The sequence below is a fragment of the Homo sapiens genome, chromosome 2 (genome assembly GCF_000001405.40).
Source record: "Homo sapiens chromosome 2, GRCh38.p14 Primary Assembly".
Classification (NCBI taxonomy): Eukaryota; Metazoa; Chordata; class Mammalia; order Primates; family Hominidae; genus Homo; species Homo sapiens.
Window position 1 is genome coordinate 5,539,388 of NC_000002.12, and position 18,726 is coordinate 5,558,113.

At 41.7% G+C, this 18,726-nt stretch overlaps 2 long non-coding RNA genes across 2 annotated transcripts; one reads left to right on the forward strand and one right to left on the reverse strand.

Moving 5' to 3' along the window:
* Nucleotides 1-712: 712 nt before the first annotated feature.
* On the forward strand, nucleotides 713-10,812 carry LOC107985842 (uncharacterized). Its single transcript, XR_001739261.2, has 4 exons — nucleotides 713-912; nucleotides 7,949-8,045; nucleotides 8,467-8,614; nucleotides 10,438-10,812. It is a non-coding gene; the product is annotated as an uncharacterized LOC107985842 (long non-coding RNA).
* LOC124905950 (uncharacterized) lies at nucleotides 10,393-16,773 on the reverse strand. Its single transcript, XR_007088652.1, has 2 exons — nucleotides 16,602-16,773; nucleotides 10,393-10,668 (listed from the first exon to the last, which is right to left on the reverse strand). It is a non-coding gene; the product is annotated as an uncharacterized LOC124905950 (long non-coding RNA).
* Nucleotides 16,774-18,726: the final 1,953 nt, after the last annotated feature.

The following is an 18,726-nucleotide window of genomic DNA, read 5'->3' on the forward strand; positions in this document are numbered from 1 at the left end:
AGTGAACTTGAGGTGTGCCGTGGGGTCTGGCCCTCAGCAATTTAAACAGAGCAGCTTTCCAAACTCAGCAGAGCACACATCAGAGTGTGTTTAGTTCATCTGGGCTGGTGAGTTCCAGTGATGAAAGCCTGGTGCTAATGGAGGCGAGGTCACCGGTTCAATCCTCATAGGACCCAGTTCACTTACAAGAGAAAAAACACTACTCAAGAACCAGAGACACCTCCTGACCCCAGTCACTGACCACAAGAAGGATGGGGTGAAAACGATGGCTGACCCAGGGCAAAACCATCTGATAAACAACTCAGACAGCACACCCCCAACCCCCAGCAGGAGAAGCCAGCACCTTCTAGTTTAAGGATTTTATAAAACCGCTTTTATAAAAATCCCTGCGGACAAGTTCACAGTAGCTGACTCCCCAAGATGAGACGTGCTGCTTTAGGTAACCTTTGGGTCCTTTCTGCTTGGGAAATTCCTTTGTCCCCTTTAGTTCACCCCAGAAGGGCCCCAGTGTGTTGCACCGGGAGGAGATTTAGCCTCCCGGGGGCCAGGGTCAGGGGAGGGAGCTGTGGGACGCAGAACCTGCCTGCTCTGCAGGTCTGAAGGAGAGACTGTTGAACTTCACAGACTTCCGGAAAAACAGGCGGTGAGGGAGGTGGAGGGGAGGCGGGGAGGGGGCTGCTGTGTTTATCCAAGTGCTCCAGCGGCTGCGGGAGTTTTCTGCTTGTGTTTATATTTTCAGAAGGGGGCTGAAGAGCTATGCCCAGACTGGAGCACGAGTCTGCTTGCTGGTGTGTTTCTCAGTCCAGTTTGATTTTTTAAAGGTACCCTCCATGGGACAGAACTCTGCTTACAAACTTTAAAACTGGATGATGCAAAAATTACCTGCACAGCAGAGGAGGACAACGAACCATAGTAAGTTTAAGTGATGGATTCTTTAATCTATCATTAATTTGTACAGATAAGTCAAAGAAAGGTAGTAGCAGATACGGAGCCCTCGCCGTGTACGCAACGCTTGACATCCTTTCTCACTGAGTCCCCACAGTAGACCTAGTGCTGCCATTTTGCAGGTGAGAAAACTGAAATGCCATATACGGTAGAGATGGGAGTCGAAACTCCTACTTCCTTTTGATAAATCCAGGATTCTTGCCTTAGTAAAATGGACTGTTTTTTGATTGCTGTTTTTTGCTTGTTTGTTTTGCCTTAAAACGCAATATAAATATATAGAGTTAGCTCTCCATTGTTACTTCTTTATAATTGAGATCAATAAGTACATTATTATAAAAATTAGGAGAAACAATACACTGATATAAACAATTACAATGTCTCTGTTGTTTTTAAATAAAAAAAAAAAAAACTGATTTTGCTTTTATCCATAACAGAAAAGGTAAGTTTGTGGGCTGGCTTCTTAGAAAAGACTCAGAATGGTTTACATAAATGTGTCCTTTGAAATGCCTAAGTGCAATAATCAAAGAAAATCGAAAATTAAATTTCCATATGAAAACTGATCCAGTCAACTAAAATTACTGCAAAGCTAAGGCATCCATCATTACTTTGAGCAAAGGGCTAGTGCCCCCAAACCCACGTATGATTTTATACACCCATAGCTCCATATTCGGGGATTTGGCTCAGCTGGTGGGTGCACGTGGCAATAAAGAGGCCAGCCAACTCCACAGAGAGCTGCCAGGTTAACCCTGGGCTGTGGGCAGAGCTAATAAAAAACAGGCACACCAGCCCAAACCCCAGACACACACAAAACCCAGCCTCAACTATTTTAATGTTTTCTTTCTTCTATTTATTTTTCCTGTTTTTTTCCTTTCTCCTTGTAAGAGTCCTCAGAAATCTTTTTCCAGTTCCGTTCCAGAGGAAAAGAAGACATTATAAAAATTAAAAAGGACAGTTGAGGTTTACAGATAAGCTTATCTTTGAGCTAAGAGTCTGAGGATGTGAACCTAGCAAACAATTGTCATCATAATTATTGTTCACAATAATCAGAAGAGAAGGAATGGGAAATGCCTGCTTCTAACATCTCTTTTCTACCTAAGTAATGAATGTATGTTGTCTCCCTCTTTATCATAAACTGACATATGTTTTAATGTATATGTATTTTTCTAGTTACATATTTTTAAAAAGAAACAAAAGACAAAAACAAAACAAAGGCAAAAATACTGGCTCTCAAGCAGAAAATATTTAAAAGGCTATAAAAGGCATGGAGTAGAAGAAATAAAAAGGTAACCAAAGTAAGAGTGAAATCTATCAACTTCATGCTTTTCCTTCTAAGTCTGGAGTAGTAGGTAAGGGGCAGTGACACCAACAGGGCTTGTGATCCCACACACCTAATATCATTCACGCAGAGTTTAGAGGTAGTTTAGTACTGTAAAAAAAAGTATGACTTTGAAATTAAAAACTCCCTAGCTCAAATCCAAGCTCCACTGTTTATGAGTTCTGTGGTCTCAGGCAAGTTACATTTCTCTCACCCCTTTCTGTACAAAAAAGAATATTCCTTACTTTTAGGATGATTGTGGCAATTAATAGAAGTTTTAAATTTTAAGATTCTAGATGGTATTTTGCATGTAATATGATATGAACTAATATAACGCGCAGCCCTCATGAAAGGGATTATCTTTATAATAAGATAGAAGAGAGCTTGCTTCACCCTGGTGTACACCATATGATGATACAGCAAGAAGGTGGCCTCCTGCCAACCAAGAAGAGAGCCCTCACAAGAACTCAACCATGCTGGCACCCTGATCTCAGACTTCAGTCTCCAGAGCTGTGACAGCATAAACTTCTGTTTAAGCCGCCTAGCATTCTAGTAGCCACCCGTCTCTAGTATCCTTCAGAGCAGCCCAAATGGACTAAGACATAATAGGTACATAATAAACAATAGCTATCATTCTGGCTGTTTTTTGGTATTTGGCAATCTGGTAAATAAATAGCAGAAAGTAAGACTCTCATTAATTGGTGAACTCATTTTGATTTATCGAGATGAGAAATTGGTTAATGGGTGCAATGCATGTTATTCAGATGATGGATACCCTAAAAGCCCTGACTTCACCACTACTTAGTTCTACACATGTAACACAATTGAACATGTACCCCATCCATTTGTACAAATAAAAAAAAGATTGTAACAAATCCAACAAGCAGGTACAATATTCCATACTTTTAAAATTTTTGTGCAAAGTTTCCGGACCTTGTCACTATCTAGAAAAAATAACTGATTTGATGAGCCATCATGGCAGGTGAGTAGTGGGGAGGGCCTGCACTGAACAGGAGAAAGATGGCACAGAGGGAAGGGCACTGGGCTATGGGAAGGTGCAAGACCTGGGTTCTGGTCTCACCACTGCTATCCCGTGAAAGTCACTTAACCATCTGAATGGCAGCACCTCCTCTATAAACAAAAATAGCATAGTAGATCCTTCCCACTCAGGGCTAATGGATGAAGCTGGGGATTCCACAAAGGCTTCAAACCTCTACAGTCTTAGGAATGCATCGATCTACTATTAAGTACTCTCCTGCCAATACCATCTAACATTAAAAACAGGTTCATTTTTCATTAATTCAATAAATATTTGAATACTACCCTTCTTATGCACTGAATAGTTCTACCTCTACACATTCGTATGTTGAAGCCCTTACCCTCAGGTACTTGGATGTGGTTCCTTTGGGAGATCATTAAGTTTAAATGAGGTCATGAGAGCAGAGCCCCCATGATGGGTGATGTGGTTTGGCTCTGTGTCCCCACCCAGATCTCATCTTGAATTGTAATCTCCACGTGTCAAGGGAGGGACCTGGTGGGAGGTGATTAGATCATAGGGGCAATTTCCCCCATGCTGTTCTCATGATAGAGAGGGAGTTCTCATGAGATCTGATGGTTTAAAAGTGGCAGTTTTCCCTGCACTTGCCCTGTCTCCTTCCGCTTTTTGAAGAAGGTATTGCTTCTCCTTCACATTCCGCCATGATTGTAAGTTTCCTGAGGCCTTTCCAGCCATGTGGAACTGTGAGTCAATTAAATGTCTTTTATTTATACATCACCCAGTCTCAGGCAGTTCTTTATAGCAGTGTAAAAATGAACTAACAGGAAATTGGTACTGGGAGTTTGAGGCACTGCTATAAAGGTATCTGAAAATGTGGAAACGACTTTGGAACTGGGTAACAGGCAGAGGTTGGAACAGTTTTGGGAGCTCAGAAGAAGACAGGAAGATGTGGGAAAGTTTGGAACTTCCTTGAGACTTATTGAATGGTTTTGACCAAAATGCTGATAGTTATATGGACAATGAAGTCCAGGCTGAAGTGCTCTCAGATTGAGATGAGGAACTTATTGGGGACTGGCACAAAGGTCACTCTTGCTATGCTTTAGCAAAGACACTGGTGGCATTTTGAACTTGAACTTGATACAAATGACTTAGGGTGTCTGGTGGAAGAAATTTCTAAGCAGCAAAACATTCAAAAGCTGGGCGATTCTGAAAGCATTCAATCATATACATTCACAAAAAAGATTATCTGAAGCTGGTTCTTTTATTTAATTGGGAAGCAGAGCATAAAAGTTTGTACAATCTGTGGCCTGACCATGCAATAGAAAGGAAAAACCCATTTTCTGGGGAGAAATTCAAGCCAGCTTTAGAAATTTGCATAAGTAATGAGAAGCCCAATGTTAGTCACCAAGACAATGAGGAAAATGTCTCCAAGGCATTTAAGAGATCTTCATGGCAGCCCCTTCCATCACAGGCCCAGAGGCCTAGGAAAGAAAAATGGTTTAACGGGCCAGGCCCAGGGCCCTGCTGGTCTGTGTAGCTTCAGGACATGGAACCCGGCATCTCAGCTGCTTCAGCTCCAGCTGTGGATAAACGGGGCCAAAATACAGCTCAGGTCATTGCTTCAGAGGGTGCAAACCCCAAGCTTTGGTGGCTTTCATGTGGTGCTGGGACTGTGGGTGCACAGAAAACAAGAGCTGAGCTTTGGGAATCTCCACCTAGGTTTCAGAGGATGCATGGAAACACCTGAATGTCCAGGCAGAAGTCTCCTGCAGAGGTGGAGCCCTCATGAAAAACCTCTACTAGGGCAATGCATAGACGAAATGTGAGTTGGAACCCCCACAGAGTCCCCACTGGGGCACTGCTTAGTGGAGCCATGAGAAGACAGCCACTGTCCTCCAGGGTCCAGAATGGTAGATGGACTGACCGCTTGCACCATGAACCTAGAAAAGTCGCAAACACTCAACACCAGCTCATGAAAGTAGCCAGGAGTGCTGTACCCTGAAAAAGCACAGGGACAGAGCTGCCCAATACCAGGGGAGCCCACCCCTTGCATCAGCATCCCTGGATGTGAGACATCAAGTCAAAGTACAGTGTTTGGGAGCTTTAAGATTTAACGAGTGCCCTGCTGGGTTTTGGACTTGCAGGGGGCCTGTGGCCCTGTTGTTTTGGCCAATTTCTACTATTTGGAATGGGAATATTTACCAAATGCCTGTACCCCTATTGTATCTTGGAAGTAAGTAGCTTATTTTTGATTTTACAGGCTCATACATGGAAGAGAGTTGCCTTGTCTGAGATGAGACATTGGACTGTGGACTTTTGAGTTAATGTTGGAATGAGTTAAGACTTTGGGGGAATGTTGGGAAGGCATGTTTGATTTTGCAATGTGAGAAGGACATGAAATTTTGGAGGGGCCAGTGATGGAATAATATGGTTTGGCTCTGGGCCCCCACTGAAATCTCATCTTGAATGGTAATCCCCATGTATTGAGGAAGGATCTGGTGGGAGGTGATTGGATGGTCAGGGCAGTTTTCCCATACTGTTCTCATAATAGTGAGGGAGAGCTCATGAGATCTGATGGTTTAAAAGTGGCAGTCTCCCCTGTGCTTGCTCTCTCTGCTGTCACCTAGTGAAGAAGGTACTGCTTCTCTTTCACCTTCTGCCATGATTGTAAGCTTCTTGAGACCTCCAGCCATGTAGAACTGTGAATCAATTAAATCTCTTTTATTTATAAATTACCCAGTCTCAGGTAGTTCTTTCTAGTAGTGTGAACTGCTAGAAATACAATGGGGTTAGTGTCCCTATAAGAAGAGCAATAGACCCCAGAATTTTCTCTCTCTCTTCCCTCACAGTATGAGGACACATATTGCAGGCAGCCAGGAACTGGTCCTCACCAGAATCAAATCTGTGAGCACCTTGATCTTGGACATCCCAGTTTCCAGAACTGTGAGAAAGAAGTGTCTGTTATGTAATCCTCCTAGCATCTGGTATTCTCTTCTAGCAGCCAGAGCTTACAAAGACAACTATGTTCTTGGCACTGACCAAGACTCTGTTGTGGGTCTAATGTGACACAGTTGTCTTTATCTTGAAGAGTTTATAATATGACAAGAAAACATGTACATACTAACTATAATATTTCATAAAATGATAAGTTTTACAAAAGTGCTAAATTTAAAATATCAACATCAAAACTCTGAGGTAGGAGAGGTATTTTCCCAGTGAAGACAATCCCAAAAGTCTTTAAGTAAAAGAGGATATTTGAGCAGGACCTTGAGGGATGTATTGATTTCTGATAGACAGATAGAGATGGAATGGAGGGCTGGAGACCTAGAGAGTGATAAGGAAAAAATAAGTCATGGCTAAAAATGGTATCTCAGGAATGACTAATAAAGTTATGAAATTTTTTTAAAATGAGTTTGTAAAAAACTCTAAAATGAGCTTTAATTTTGACCACACAACTTTGCACTTCTTTAATTTGCAATAAAGGGAATTTGATTTTTTTAATTACCCTACATTATACACCAAGAAAAACATTATTTTTAAAGAAATAAATGTAACCAATTATCAGGCACCAAGGAGTCCTACATTTATTGATGCTTTAATAAAATATAAGAAAGTGCACCATAAAAGCTGGATTGATATTGCTCATCAACCTGCTCATAGAAATGACTCAAGAGCTTGTGACTAAACTCTGGAGGAGTCACCTCCACTTTGTGCCATTTACCACAAGTCTGAATATGCAAGAGACAAAAGTATATCCTAGAATTCACCTTCTGATTCATCTAGATGATTTATTCAAAGCTGGCCAGTAACTAGTAACTAGTTTTAGACAATGATGAGTATTATAGGACAATAAAGAAATGTTGACTTCCAATTGTGATGTCATTAAGTCTCCTGGGAATAAGTTTCCTTGAAAACAATGAGGTCGTGAGACCTCAGAGAACCAAAGCACCTCATTGGAGGTCTCAAGAAGTTCTCTCTCTCTCTATATATATATATATGTGTGTGTGTGTATATATATGTATATATGTATGTATACTTGCATATATACATATATATGTATGTATATGTGTATATATACATATATGTATGTGTATATATACATATATGTATGTATATGTGTATATGTGTATGTGTATATAGAGAGAATGTGTGTATATACATACGTATATATGTATGCATATGTATATACATATATATGTATGTATATATGTATATATATGTGTATGTATATGTGTGTGTGTATATATATATATATAGAGAGAGAGAGAGAGAAGGTAAATAAATTTGCATTTGCAAAGTGTATTTCTGGAAACATTGAGGGACAGTGTGGGGATAAAATATCCCCAGGTCAAGAATGTTTGAGGTGCTGCATACCCCATGGCCACCCTGAGGCTTCATGACACAGTAGCAGGCTAAAGGCTCCAGAGAACACACAGTGAAGAAACCTGCCTCTTCTCTTACCAAGTCTGTTTGACCATGGCACCTTTATTTGTATCAATACCATGAAGATCACAGAAAAAGGAGTAAAAAATATTAAAGCAGATAATCTTGAAGATCACTAGATTCCAATTTAAAATAAACTACCCAGGCCAATTTTCATCAGTAAATTCAATAAAGTGTTTCCTGATCATTTGAGGAAATTCTGTGAAACACTGATTTGTAGGTTCTATTACTGACCCAGTGTTTCTTAGAAGGGGGCTCAAGATCTGCATATTCAACAAGCTTCCCAAGGGATTTTGATGGATTCAGAACCACCCTCTACAAATCCCTTCTAACCACAACAAAATGGTAAGTTATAAGCTCCAAAATGGACTTTATCAATTATTGATTGCAGTATTTTCTGCTTCATGGAAATGAAGGCCTGTGAATTAGAGTTTACTAAAGAGATGTAGACAGTATATCCATGGGAGAAGCCCAGCTGAAACTGACCCACGTGGGGGATCCTCATCTGTTGATCTTGCTATTTCACTGCCCCCTCCAAAATGCACAAAGTAAACTAATCATTTACCTTGCCTTAGCATTGCCAAGGAGTGTGGGCACAGCATAGGTGACAAAGTGGAAGGGGGATGCTATCTCCTTTCCAACCATGCCCTTTAAGAAGGTATGTTTAAACTAGAGCATCTTCCTCCAACATGCAAAATTTTTTAAATCTATGAAAGGGGAAAAGAAAGCCAAAGCACTTGATGAATCAAAACTCTTCCTATTTCAGGATGGGCTGAGTGTTCATATTGCCTCACCTTTCATCAAAGCACCATCTGGGAACCAGAACTTGGCATTTGAGAAAAATCAGAGATGACTAAGAATAAGAACAATCTCATCAGGAGAAGAGCCGTTGATCTCCTGTTCCTCTTCTAGAAGTTGGTACCAGTTGAAACTAAAGGAGGGTGTGCATGAACTATGGCAGATCCAGAATATTCTGTTTCATTTTCAGTTGACCTGATGCATACATACGGCCCTGTTCCCAGTGGGCAGGCAAGCCTGGATCTTTCTCCACATGGTGCCAGTCAATGGTTCAATCCAAAAGTATTAATGTCAGCCAAGTCATATCAAAGTTCCTGCCTTATCTAGATGAGACTTCCACCACAGATCTTACAGATGATCTTATACAACATATATGTCCATTTCAAATTGAGAAAACTGAGGCTGGGAGGGTAACTAACTGGTCTGAGGGCCTCTAACAAGTCTGTGGTCAATTAGCAAGAGCTCTCTGTCAGCTCACCTCTGTGCAGTGTGCCAAGGCCACACTCAGACCCACACTGACATTGTACAAAAACTAAAATGAACGATTCCCAGAGTTCTCCAACTAAACTTTCTGTTTTAGATGAAGGACAATAATACAGACAAAATGAAAATTACATCCTTTGTGTGAGTAGAGTATTATGTAATTGTAATAGACCTCTTAAGGAAGAGGACAACATAAAAGCGGTAATTTTTTAAATAAATCACAGTGGGCATGATTCTTCATTGATGGATACATTTTCAACCAGACAATCATCAAAAACAATGCTGATCTTAACTTCTTTGTAATTCACAAAATTCTGGGCCATGCCATGGAATAGTCGGAAATGGCCTAAACCATCTAAAAAATCCCATTCCCCAGCAATCATTCTAGAGGCTCGCAGGTGAAAATGGATTGTAAATTGAAAATATTCCCCAAAAGCGGCATGCATTTCTTGACAGAAAAGCAAGCTGTAGACTTACAAATGACATTTACAGAAGTGCTTATGTGGGGCTGGGGCAAGGTACATCTGATTTTCGTTAGGATTGCTAAAGAGCATTTTCTAAATATTTGAGTGTAAACCACTGCAGTTATTACCCATATTTAACATTCAAATGGCCAGAACCAATGGCAGTCTGGAAGATTTCATTTTCTGCAGGAGAATATCAGTATAGTCATGCACTGTGGAAGCTGGATAGTCCTGGTACAATTCACAGTGGCTGCATTTGCTGTATAATTGAAAGGATCAAATTACAACCCCAAACCCCGCTCCTAGCACAAGAAGAATTTGTGTTCAGGTTGGCCCTCGGACCACAGTGAGAGGGAGCTGGTCATAAACATTCCAACCGGCTTTCACGTTGCTTGACTTTACCCAGACAACACTTCCTATCTCTTGATTTTTCACCTTCTTAAAAATAGGCCTTTTGAAAGCCCATTCTTAATTAGTTTACCTTAAAATATGTCCTCTACAGCTATTCAGACAAAAGGAATGTGATACTTGGCTTGTTTAAACAGTATTCAACTCATGTGAAACAAATTATTCACATAAAGCAGGGGATTACAGGCAAAACCTTTACAGTCGGGGAAAAAAGCACAAGTTGACCTTGATTTTTTTCTCTCCATGAATTTAATACAGCTCAAGGAACCACTGATGCATGTGTGTACCAAGCATGTGCTCTGGGCTGAGGCCCTGCCCTTTGAAAGCCTCACAGACAGATTTGAAGAAAACCCAGTGTCTCTAATCCTTTGGTAAAATCCACAATTGCTCATTTTCCTCATACAAAGACATTTCTTGGATTTCTTTGACATTCTCTGATGAATAGATCATATTTTCTGATGAATAAATCTGTTATTTTTTCTGTTTATTTTATCTTACCTAATTGTTTGCATCAATATATACAACTTTAAACTATAATGTAAATAATAAAGATGTAAGTATTTTATTGTTTATTTGTATTACAGGAATTGAGAACAGAAAGGATCATTAAACATCACCTACTCCAAATGCATTCGTTTCCAGAACTCCACAAGCAAGGGCAGAGCCCAGGACTCCTGTTGCCTGATTTTGTGCCTGAGGATCTTGGCTCTTGAAGCAGGAGAACCTTCAGTGTATGTTAGAAACTTCTGGGAGGGCTTGGCCAAGATACAAGCTCTGGATCCCACCACGGAGATTCTGCTTCTGCAGGCTGAGGTCTGTCCAGGAAACAGCATTTTAATAAGCTCAGATTCTGATTTGGATGATCTTTGAAACAAACCAAAGCCCAATACACACAAGCTTCCCAATCACTTGCAGTTAATTTTCACAAACGTTTTCTTATATTCATTATTAATCTAGAAAAAAAGCAATAAATATTTTCTAAGCACTTCTTTTTAGAAATTATTTTTATTATGGTTACATATATGAAAAATAATAAAAATTGCCATTTTAACCACTTTTAAGTGTACAAATCAGTGGCATTAATTCTATTCACAATGCTGTACTATCACATTATAGTAGGTAGTTACAGTTGTAACTGTTACCACGATCTATTTCTTTCTTCTTTCTTTCTTTTCTTTTTTTTTTTTTTTTTTTGAGGCAGAGTCTCGCTCTGTCACCCAGGCTGGAATGCAGTAGTGCGATCTCGGCTCACTGGAACCTCCGCCTCTCGGGTTCAAGCAATTCTCTGTCTCAGCCTCCCCAGTAGCTGGGATTACAGACGCCCACCACCACGCCTGGCTTAGTGTTGTATTTTTAGTAGAGACGGGGTTTCACCATGCTGGTCTTTAACGCCTGACCTCATGATCCACCAGCCTCGGCCTCCCAAAGTGCTGGGATTACAGGTGTGAGCCACCGTACCCTGCCACCATTATCTGTTTCTAATACTTTTTCATTACCCACAAATAGGAACTTTTTACCCACCAAGAAATAATTTCTCATTCTCCCTTCATGCAGCCCCTGATAACCTCTGATCTTCCTACCTCTATAACTGCACCCAATGTAGATATTTCATACCAGTAGAATCATACAAATTTGTCCTTTTGTGTCTGAATTATTTCATTTAGCATAATGCTTCCAAAATTCATTCATGTTGTAGCAAGTAGTGGAACTTCATTTCTTTCTATGGCTGAATAATATTCCATTGCATGGATATATCACAATTTATGTATTCATTCATCAGTTAATGGACACATATTTCCACCCTTTGGCTATTGGGAATAGTGCTGCTATGGACATTTGTCCATAAGTATCTGCTTGAACCCCTGTTTTCAATTCTTTTGTGTATATACATAGGAATGGGGTTGCTAGGTTATATGATAGTTCCAGGAATAACATTTTGAGGATCAACCACCAACCTATTTCCCCCAAGCATTTCTTTTGTAGACCTAACAGAGCCCGTACCAGGGTTTGACAACAGATAACCTCTGACGCATATATGGTATGACAACAGCTCAACAGCACAATATATATTCATTTTATTTAACATCCAAACTCATTCTCTGAAGATTTGAACTGGCCTCTAAAATAATGTAAAATAAAGTAGATAAACATTAATAACTACAAAGCATATGCTATGCTGATATAAATTATTGTGAAAGATAAAATTCATTTTTGCCGGCTGCAGGAGATGACACAATGAGATTCTGAGTCCTCTGACAACCAATGCAAAAAGGGAAGTAGAAATAGTCTCCATCAGTGGCTCTCTAAAAAGCTATTTAACTCTTTCATGTGACTGAAAGTGAAAAATGACATGAGATCCCCTTAGAACAACTTTGCTTAAAGTGCAAGTAGAGATTTGCTTCTTAGTCCAACTTCAAAGAGCCACAGAAGGGCCTGGATGGCACCCAGAGGGCCTCACAGCTGGAAATTAGTGAACTATAAAAGTCTCATTCTCCATCAGGGAAATCCACCTAGCATGGTGCTTTTCTCCAAGAAAGAAGCTTTTCTTGGCATTTAGGAATGGTATTAACCTCTTGAGCCAAGCTCTCAAGCTCAGTGGAAGTGGTAGAGGTGGTGAGATGGTAGAGAAAGTGGAGAGGGTGAAGGTGGAGGAGGTGATGAATGGTGGAGAGGTTGGAGAGGGTAGAGGCAATGGAGGTGGTGGAAATGGTGTAAGTGGTGAAGATGTCAGATAGGCTGGAGAGGGTGAGGGAGCAGGGAGAACAAGCGTGCACTCCCTGACTCCTGCAAAGGACAGGCTACTCGATCAGAGCCCCACAGCTATCTGGTCACTGGTATGCAGGGCTAATTCTCAAGTCCTTTTATTTCAACTAACTGCATGTCACTGAAGTCCAAATCAGAGTCCTGCTGTAGGATTTCAAGATGATGTGGATGAGTGCCACCATGTTTGTTGGCTTGGCCTGATTTGGACCAACAAATAATATGGATTGCTCAGATGTACCTACCACAAGGATGTCACGTAAATTTCCATTTGGGTGTCATAGGGACTAAGGGGAGGGAACAACAAAATCACTGGCTTATCTAAATGCAAAACCCTTACTATGTTGGAAAAATACAATGCTGTTCTAGCCCACTGTCACATATTTACTAGAATAAGTATGGAGGCTAAGGAAAGACTCTGAATGCTTAAATAGAGTTTTGAAATGAATGTTGTTTGCAGATGTTGCAGTGATCACGATTTGAAATTGTTTTAAAGTGTTACCAAAATTTGATGATATAGATTATATACACACACATATATATATATCTGTCTTCTTTTGAAAAATTGGAAGATGTGGTAATGCGGCATTCCCTGTAATAGCATTGCTGGTGGGAGGGGTGACAGATCTCACCCTGCACTCCTGCACAGTCTCCATCTTCACTCTCTTCCCCAGCTCCTGATCTCCCCCACCTTCACTCTCTCCGCTCTTTCCACCACCTCGGCCACCTTCACCACCTCTTGCACCTTCATCCTCTCCACTCTTTTCACCATCTTCACCACCTATACCATCTCAACCATATCTACCACCTCTACCTACCTCCTCCACCTTCATGCTCTTCACCCTTTACAATCTCTCCACCATTGATACCATCCATCTCTACCATATCTTCTATCTACACTAGCTCCACCATCTTCACCCTCTCCATCTTCTTCACCATCTTCACCACTTCCATCATCTCCACCTTCTCTACCGTTACCACCATCTCTACCACCGTCACCGCCTCCACCCTCCCCAACCTCTCCATCATTTAACACCTCTACCATCTCCACCACCTCCACTTTCTCGACCATCTCATCATCTCTACCACCTCCACACCTCCACATTCTCCACCCTCTCCACCATCTCCACTGTCTCCACCACCTCCACTCTCTCCACCCTCTTCACCGTCTTTACCACCTGCACCCTTTCCACCTCTTTACCATCTTACCACCTCCACCAGCTCCATCTTCTTTACCCTCTTCAACATCTCCACCTTCTCTATCAACTACACTCATTGGCTCTCTGCATTTCCCAATGGAAAGGGATTGTGTGGTCTCTGGCCACTATTGTTCTAGGGAGGGCCACTGTTGTTCTTTGTTCAGAGGGAGGTCTAAAGGAGAAACATTTTGTTCCAAGGGAAGAGCATTTTACATTTTTATTTGTTCAATCAATATTTCAGAACAAGTGAAGACTCAGGACATTGGACTCTCGGCTCCTCCTGGAGGGGATCTGGTGAAGCTCTGCATCTGAGGACCTCAGGGAAGAAACCACCATCAAGGCACGTAGCAGCCAAGCCCCAGTCTAGTCTAGAGTCCAGCCCAAGGAGGTGGGGAAGAGGAGGTGAAATCAGTCAAGGGACAATGAGGAAGACTCCGAAACAACCACTTACAAATATGATGATATTTGCAGAAGAGCTTGGGAAGACCAGTGTGGAAAATTCCTTTATGCCAGAAAATGCATCTGTGGCACGTTTTCAAGCAGAAACAAGACGGGATTGTGAAGGCAACACAGCCTAGAATTTGCATGTGATTAAATTACAACCAAAGAAGTTGTGTGCATACATGCACACACACAAATCAGGAAGATGAAAATATGTGGGGATGAGACCATTAGACTACAAGCTCAGTGAGAGCAGGGACTGGGTCTCACATTTTCAAACCTCAGCCCAGGGCATGGCAAGAGAACTCTTTGCAGACCTGAGCTGAATCACAACTATGGAAACTACAATTAAATAAGAATATGAATGTCCTGCAAAGTCAGAGGGAAAGTTCAATAAAAAGAGGAGAGAGAATGAGGCTTCATGGGGCACGTAGTAGCAAAAGCGTAACTTAGAAAGCTATTCTAAGTTTCCTATGATACACTGTTAATTGCGGAGGTGGAATTTGAGCTCAGCTCAGTGTGGCTACAAATTCATGTTAGATACACTGTGCTAAATAGTTCCTTTAAACCAAAGGATTTTTTAAAATACAAGAATTACTGCATAATAAAACATTGCCATTTTTTCAGATAGTTACTGAACCCAAAATGTGAATTTCTGCCAGGAATTTATAGTGACTAGAAAGAACTTAAGAGTAAAATTAATAGACTGTCAAATAAAAGCGTTACAGCATGAGCTGTATGAGGTCAGGGACATTTACTCAGCAGATGAATGCACATCCCTTCATGAACAATGAGGACACGTGAGCATGCCAGCCTCATCCTATGTTGGTAAATGTCTACAGAAACATGATCATTGAGACATGCACAGGTATTAGCTACTAAAATATTCTCTCAGATATCTTATGGAAAGGCACTGTCTTGAAAATTCTCTAAATGAGATTAATTATGGACAATTTTGTTTACTATGAATTTTTTCATACACGATCAGATATTTTAAGTCCCTGTCTTTCAAATAATATATTTGTCCTTTTTCTAAAGCATCACAAATACTCTTCTTGAACCTCTCAGAGACAGGTTCTTATAAAAGTGAGTCTAGATAGAATTCCCAAAAAAAACATTGTCAAATCAAAATTAATTACCGAATCATCTCCGTCCTGATCCTTTATGTTGGCCAAATGTTAGTTGAGAGGATGAGAATGAGGTCGGAAGAAAGATTTTTCTTTTTTTTTTTTTTTTCAGGCGGAGTCTCGCTGTATACCCCAGGCTGGAGTGCAGCGGCGCAATCTCGGCTCACTGCAAGCTCCGCCTCCCGGGTTCACGCCATTCTCCTGCCTCAGCCTCCCGAGTAGCTGGGACTACAGGCGCCCGCCACCACGCCCGGCTAATTTTTTGTATTTTTAGTAGAGACGGCATTTCACCGAGTTAGCCAGGATGGTCTCGATCTCCTGACCTTGTGATCTGCCCTCCTCAGCTTCCCGAAGTGCTGGGATTACAGGCGTGAGCCACCGCGCCCGGCCCGGAAGGAAGATTTTAGCTGAGCCTGTGAACCATGCTTTGGTCACTCTGTCCTCACAAGTCTGTTATGTGTTGGTAATTCACAAAACTGAAGTCCCCCTGGGGAGCTGAAACCACTCTTATAAGGTACCTGCGCCTTCTGAGGAGTATAATGCATTCCTGTGCTAGCCTTCTGATAGATAGTAAGGAGTTTCTCAGATTCACTTCTCAAACGAAGGGAGTTTAATACTGAGCTGCCTTCCAGGGAGCTGCCCCCACAGCCTGGGCTGGGAAGATCTCAGCGAGCTCTGGGGAGACCTGGAGGACAGAGGGTAGAACGGGACATGGAGCCAATGAAAGGAAGTCCGGCCGGACAGGCAGCTGTGACAGGCTCTTTCTGCCAGGTTCGCAGCTTCAAACAGCAACCACATTGCTTTTTGGCTCCAGAAAAATGTGAAACACAGAGAGGTCAGTTATTTTCCTGGGTATCTTTGTTTAAGACAGATTTGGGGAAAGGGCCAGAGAAAGTTGGGGCTTGGGAATGATGCGCTCTGAGCAGTTCCACTTTGGGGAGATAAGGAGAGGAGCTCCTGAGACTGTACTGAGTGAGTTGTCCAAGGTTATGCGTCAAGGTCAACGGCAGTCAGCGCCAGGGGCTCTTGGTCACGGGGGAAGGGCTGCCAAACCCAGGTGCCCTGCTTCTCAGGCGCCTCCGGCAGGCCTCTGTAGCACTGGGATCGCCCTGTGAGAGATCCTCACTTTTGGAAAGGTTTGATTTCCTTGACTTTCCCTTCCATTCAAACAACACCCCTTTCCATTTGATCGATTGCTAACATGTAACTGATAGCACTAACCTCAGCTCCCGGGTGCACGAGGGGTGCATTCACTCAGAGCAAGACCCTGTGCTCTGCTGTTCCTTGCTCTCATTTTCATTCTGCACTGGTGGAAAGGCAGGGAATAGGCTCCTTTCATTTCAGAAATTCATTGGGGAAGGCGGCAGAAGCCGGAGCAAGAAGCGGAAGGAGTGTGAGGGAGGAGCTCCGCCCTCTCAGCATGGCTGCCCCGATGGGAGAAGGGAAAATGCAGGAATGGGAACTGGGATGCACAGCACATCTCTCAAAGGGACAAGCAGCAGCACATGCAAAGCGGCCACACTGCTCATGACTTTGCTGTTATTTCTGTTGGCTGAGGATGCTCGTTTTCAGTTGCATACTCAAGCATTGCACGGCCGCCTCGTTTGGAATTGTTGAAAATCTCTCTTATGCCCACCTGGCACATACTTCAGAAGCAGCGCCCTTAAAGAACAAAGTAAAAGAAAAAAAAAAACTGAACCATTAATTGCTATGTGGAGAAATGCAAATACAATTCATTTTTCTTCTTATCTTGGACCAACAGCGGCTTTTATACCCTTTTGGGGTCCACCTCTGTGTAAGTAAGTGTGTGTGTGCGTGTGTGTATGTATACATATACATATTTTGAAGTGGAGAAACCAAAAAATCATTTTTTTGTTTGTTTGTTTGCTTTTTTTTGTGATGGAGTTTCACTCTTGTTGCCCAGGCTGGAGTGCAATGGCGCAATCTCGGCTCACTGCAACCTCCGCCTCCTGGGTTCGAGCAATTCTCCTGCCTCAGCCTTCCTAGTACCTGGAATTAGAGGCATGCACCACCATGCCTGGCTAATTTTGTATTTTTAGTAGAGATGGGGTTTCACCATGTTGGTTAGGTCTCGAACTCCTGACCTCAGGTGATCCGCCTGCCTCGGCCTCCCAAAGTGCTGGGATTACAGGCGTGAGCCACCACACCTGGTCAAAAGTAAATATTTTAAAATGTTGAAAATATGTTTGGAATTTGCCTATCTATTCATGGTTATGCACACATGCTGCTACAACTTGCTACATTTCTCTCAGGCACATAGGTTGGGTAGAGCATTCTGTCTAATGATGGAAGTTGAATTCCTGTCAGAGGTCACCAGTTAAGATGGATTTAGCTCAGTCATGTGAGATTTGAGTCTTAAGACCTCCAAATTTCAACCATGGGTTAATAAAATTGGACTCTAAAACAAAACAAAAAAACCTTTACCATGAGGTTTTAAGTTTGGAACTTGAAAATGCATAATGTTTGCAATGAAAAAAAAAGAAACTTGAACTCTCAAATTTAAAAAATAAGTCATGTGTATATGTGTGTGTAAGGAGTCCATATTCATGTTAAATGTATCTTTCCTGTCTACAAGCATGTGTTTGAGTTAATTAAAAGAGAATGTATTAAATTTAAAGGCTGTTTGATTTCAACAATGAAGAATGTGCACAACTACTAGAAAAGTAGGAGTTTAAAGAACAAAACAACATCTGTAAAAATCTAATTGGGTACAATACCTTGATATATTTTACTCCAAAAACTCACTTTTCAGTGGTAAATAAACTAAATATGCCTCTTGTATTAGTCCGTTTTCACAATGTTGATAAAGACATACCCAAGACTAGGCAATTTACAAAAGAAAGAGGTTTAGTTGGACTTATAGTTCCATGTGGCTGGGGAGGCCTCACAATCATGGCAGAAGTCAAGGAAGAGCAAGTCAGATCTTACACAGATGGCAGCAGGCAAAGAGAGAGAGAGCCCGTGCCGGAAAACTCTCCCTTGAAATAACCATCAGATCTCATGAGACTTAGTCACTATCATGAAAACAGCATAGGAAAGACCTGCCCCCATGATTCAGTTACCTCCCACCAGATCCCTCCCACAACATGTGGGAATTCAAGATTAATTTTAGGAGGAGACACAGCCCAACCATATCATTCTGCCCTGGTCCCTACCAAACCTCATGTCCTCACATTTCAAAACTAATCATGCCTTCCCAACAGTCCCCTAAAGTCTTAACTCTTCAGCATTAACTCAAAAGTCCACAGTCCAAAGTTTCATCTTAGACAAGGCAAGTCCCTTCCATCTATAAGCCCATAAACTCAAAAGCAAGTGACTTACTTCC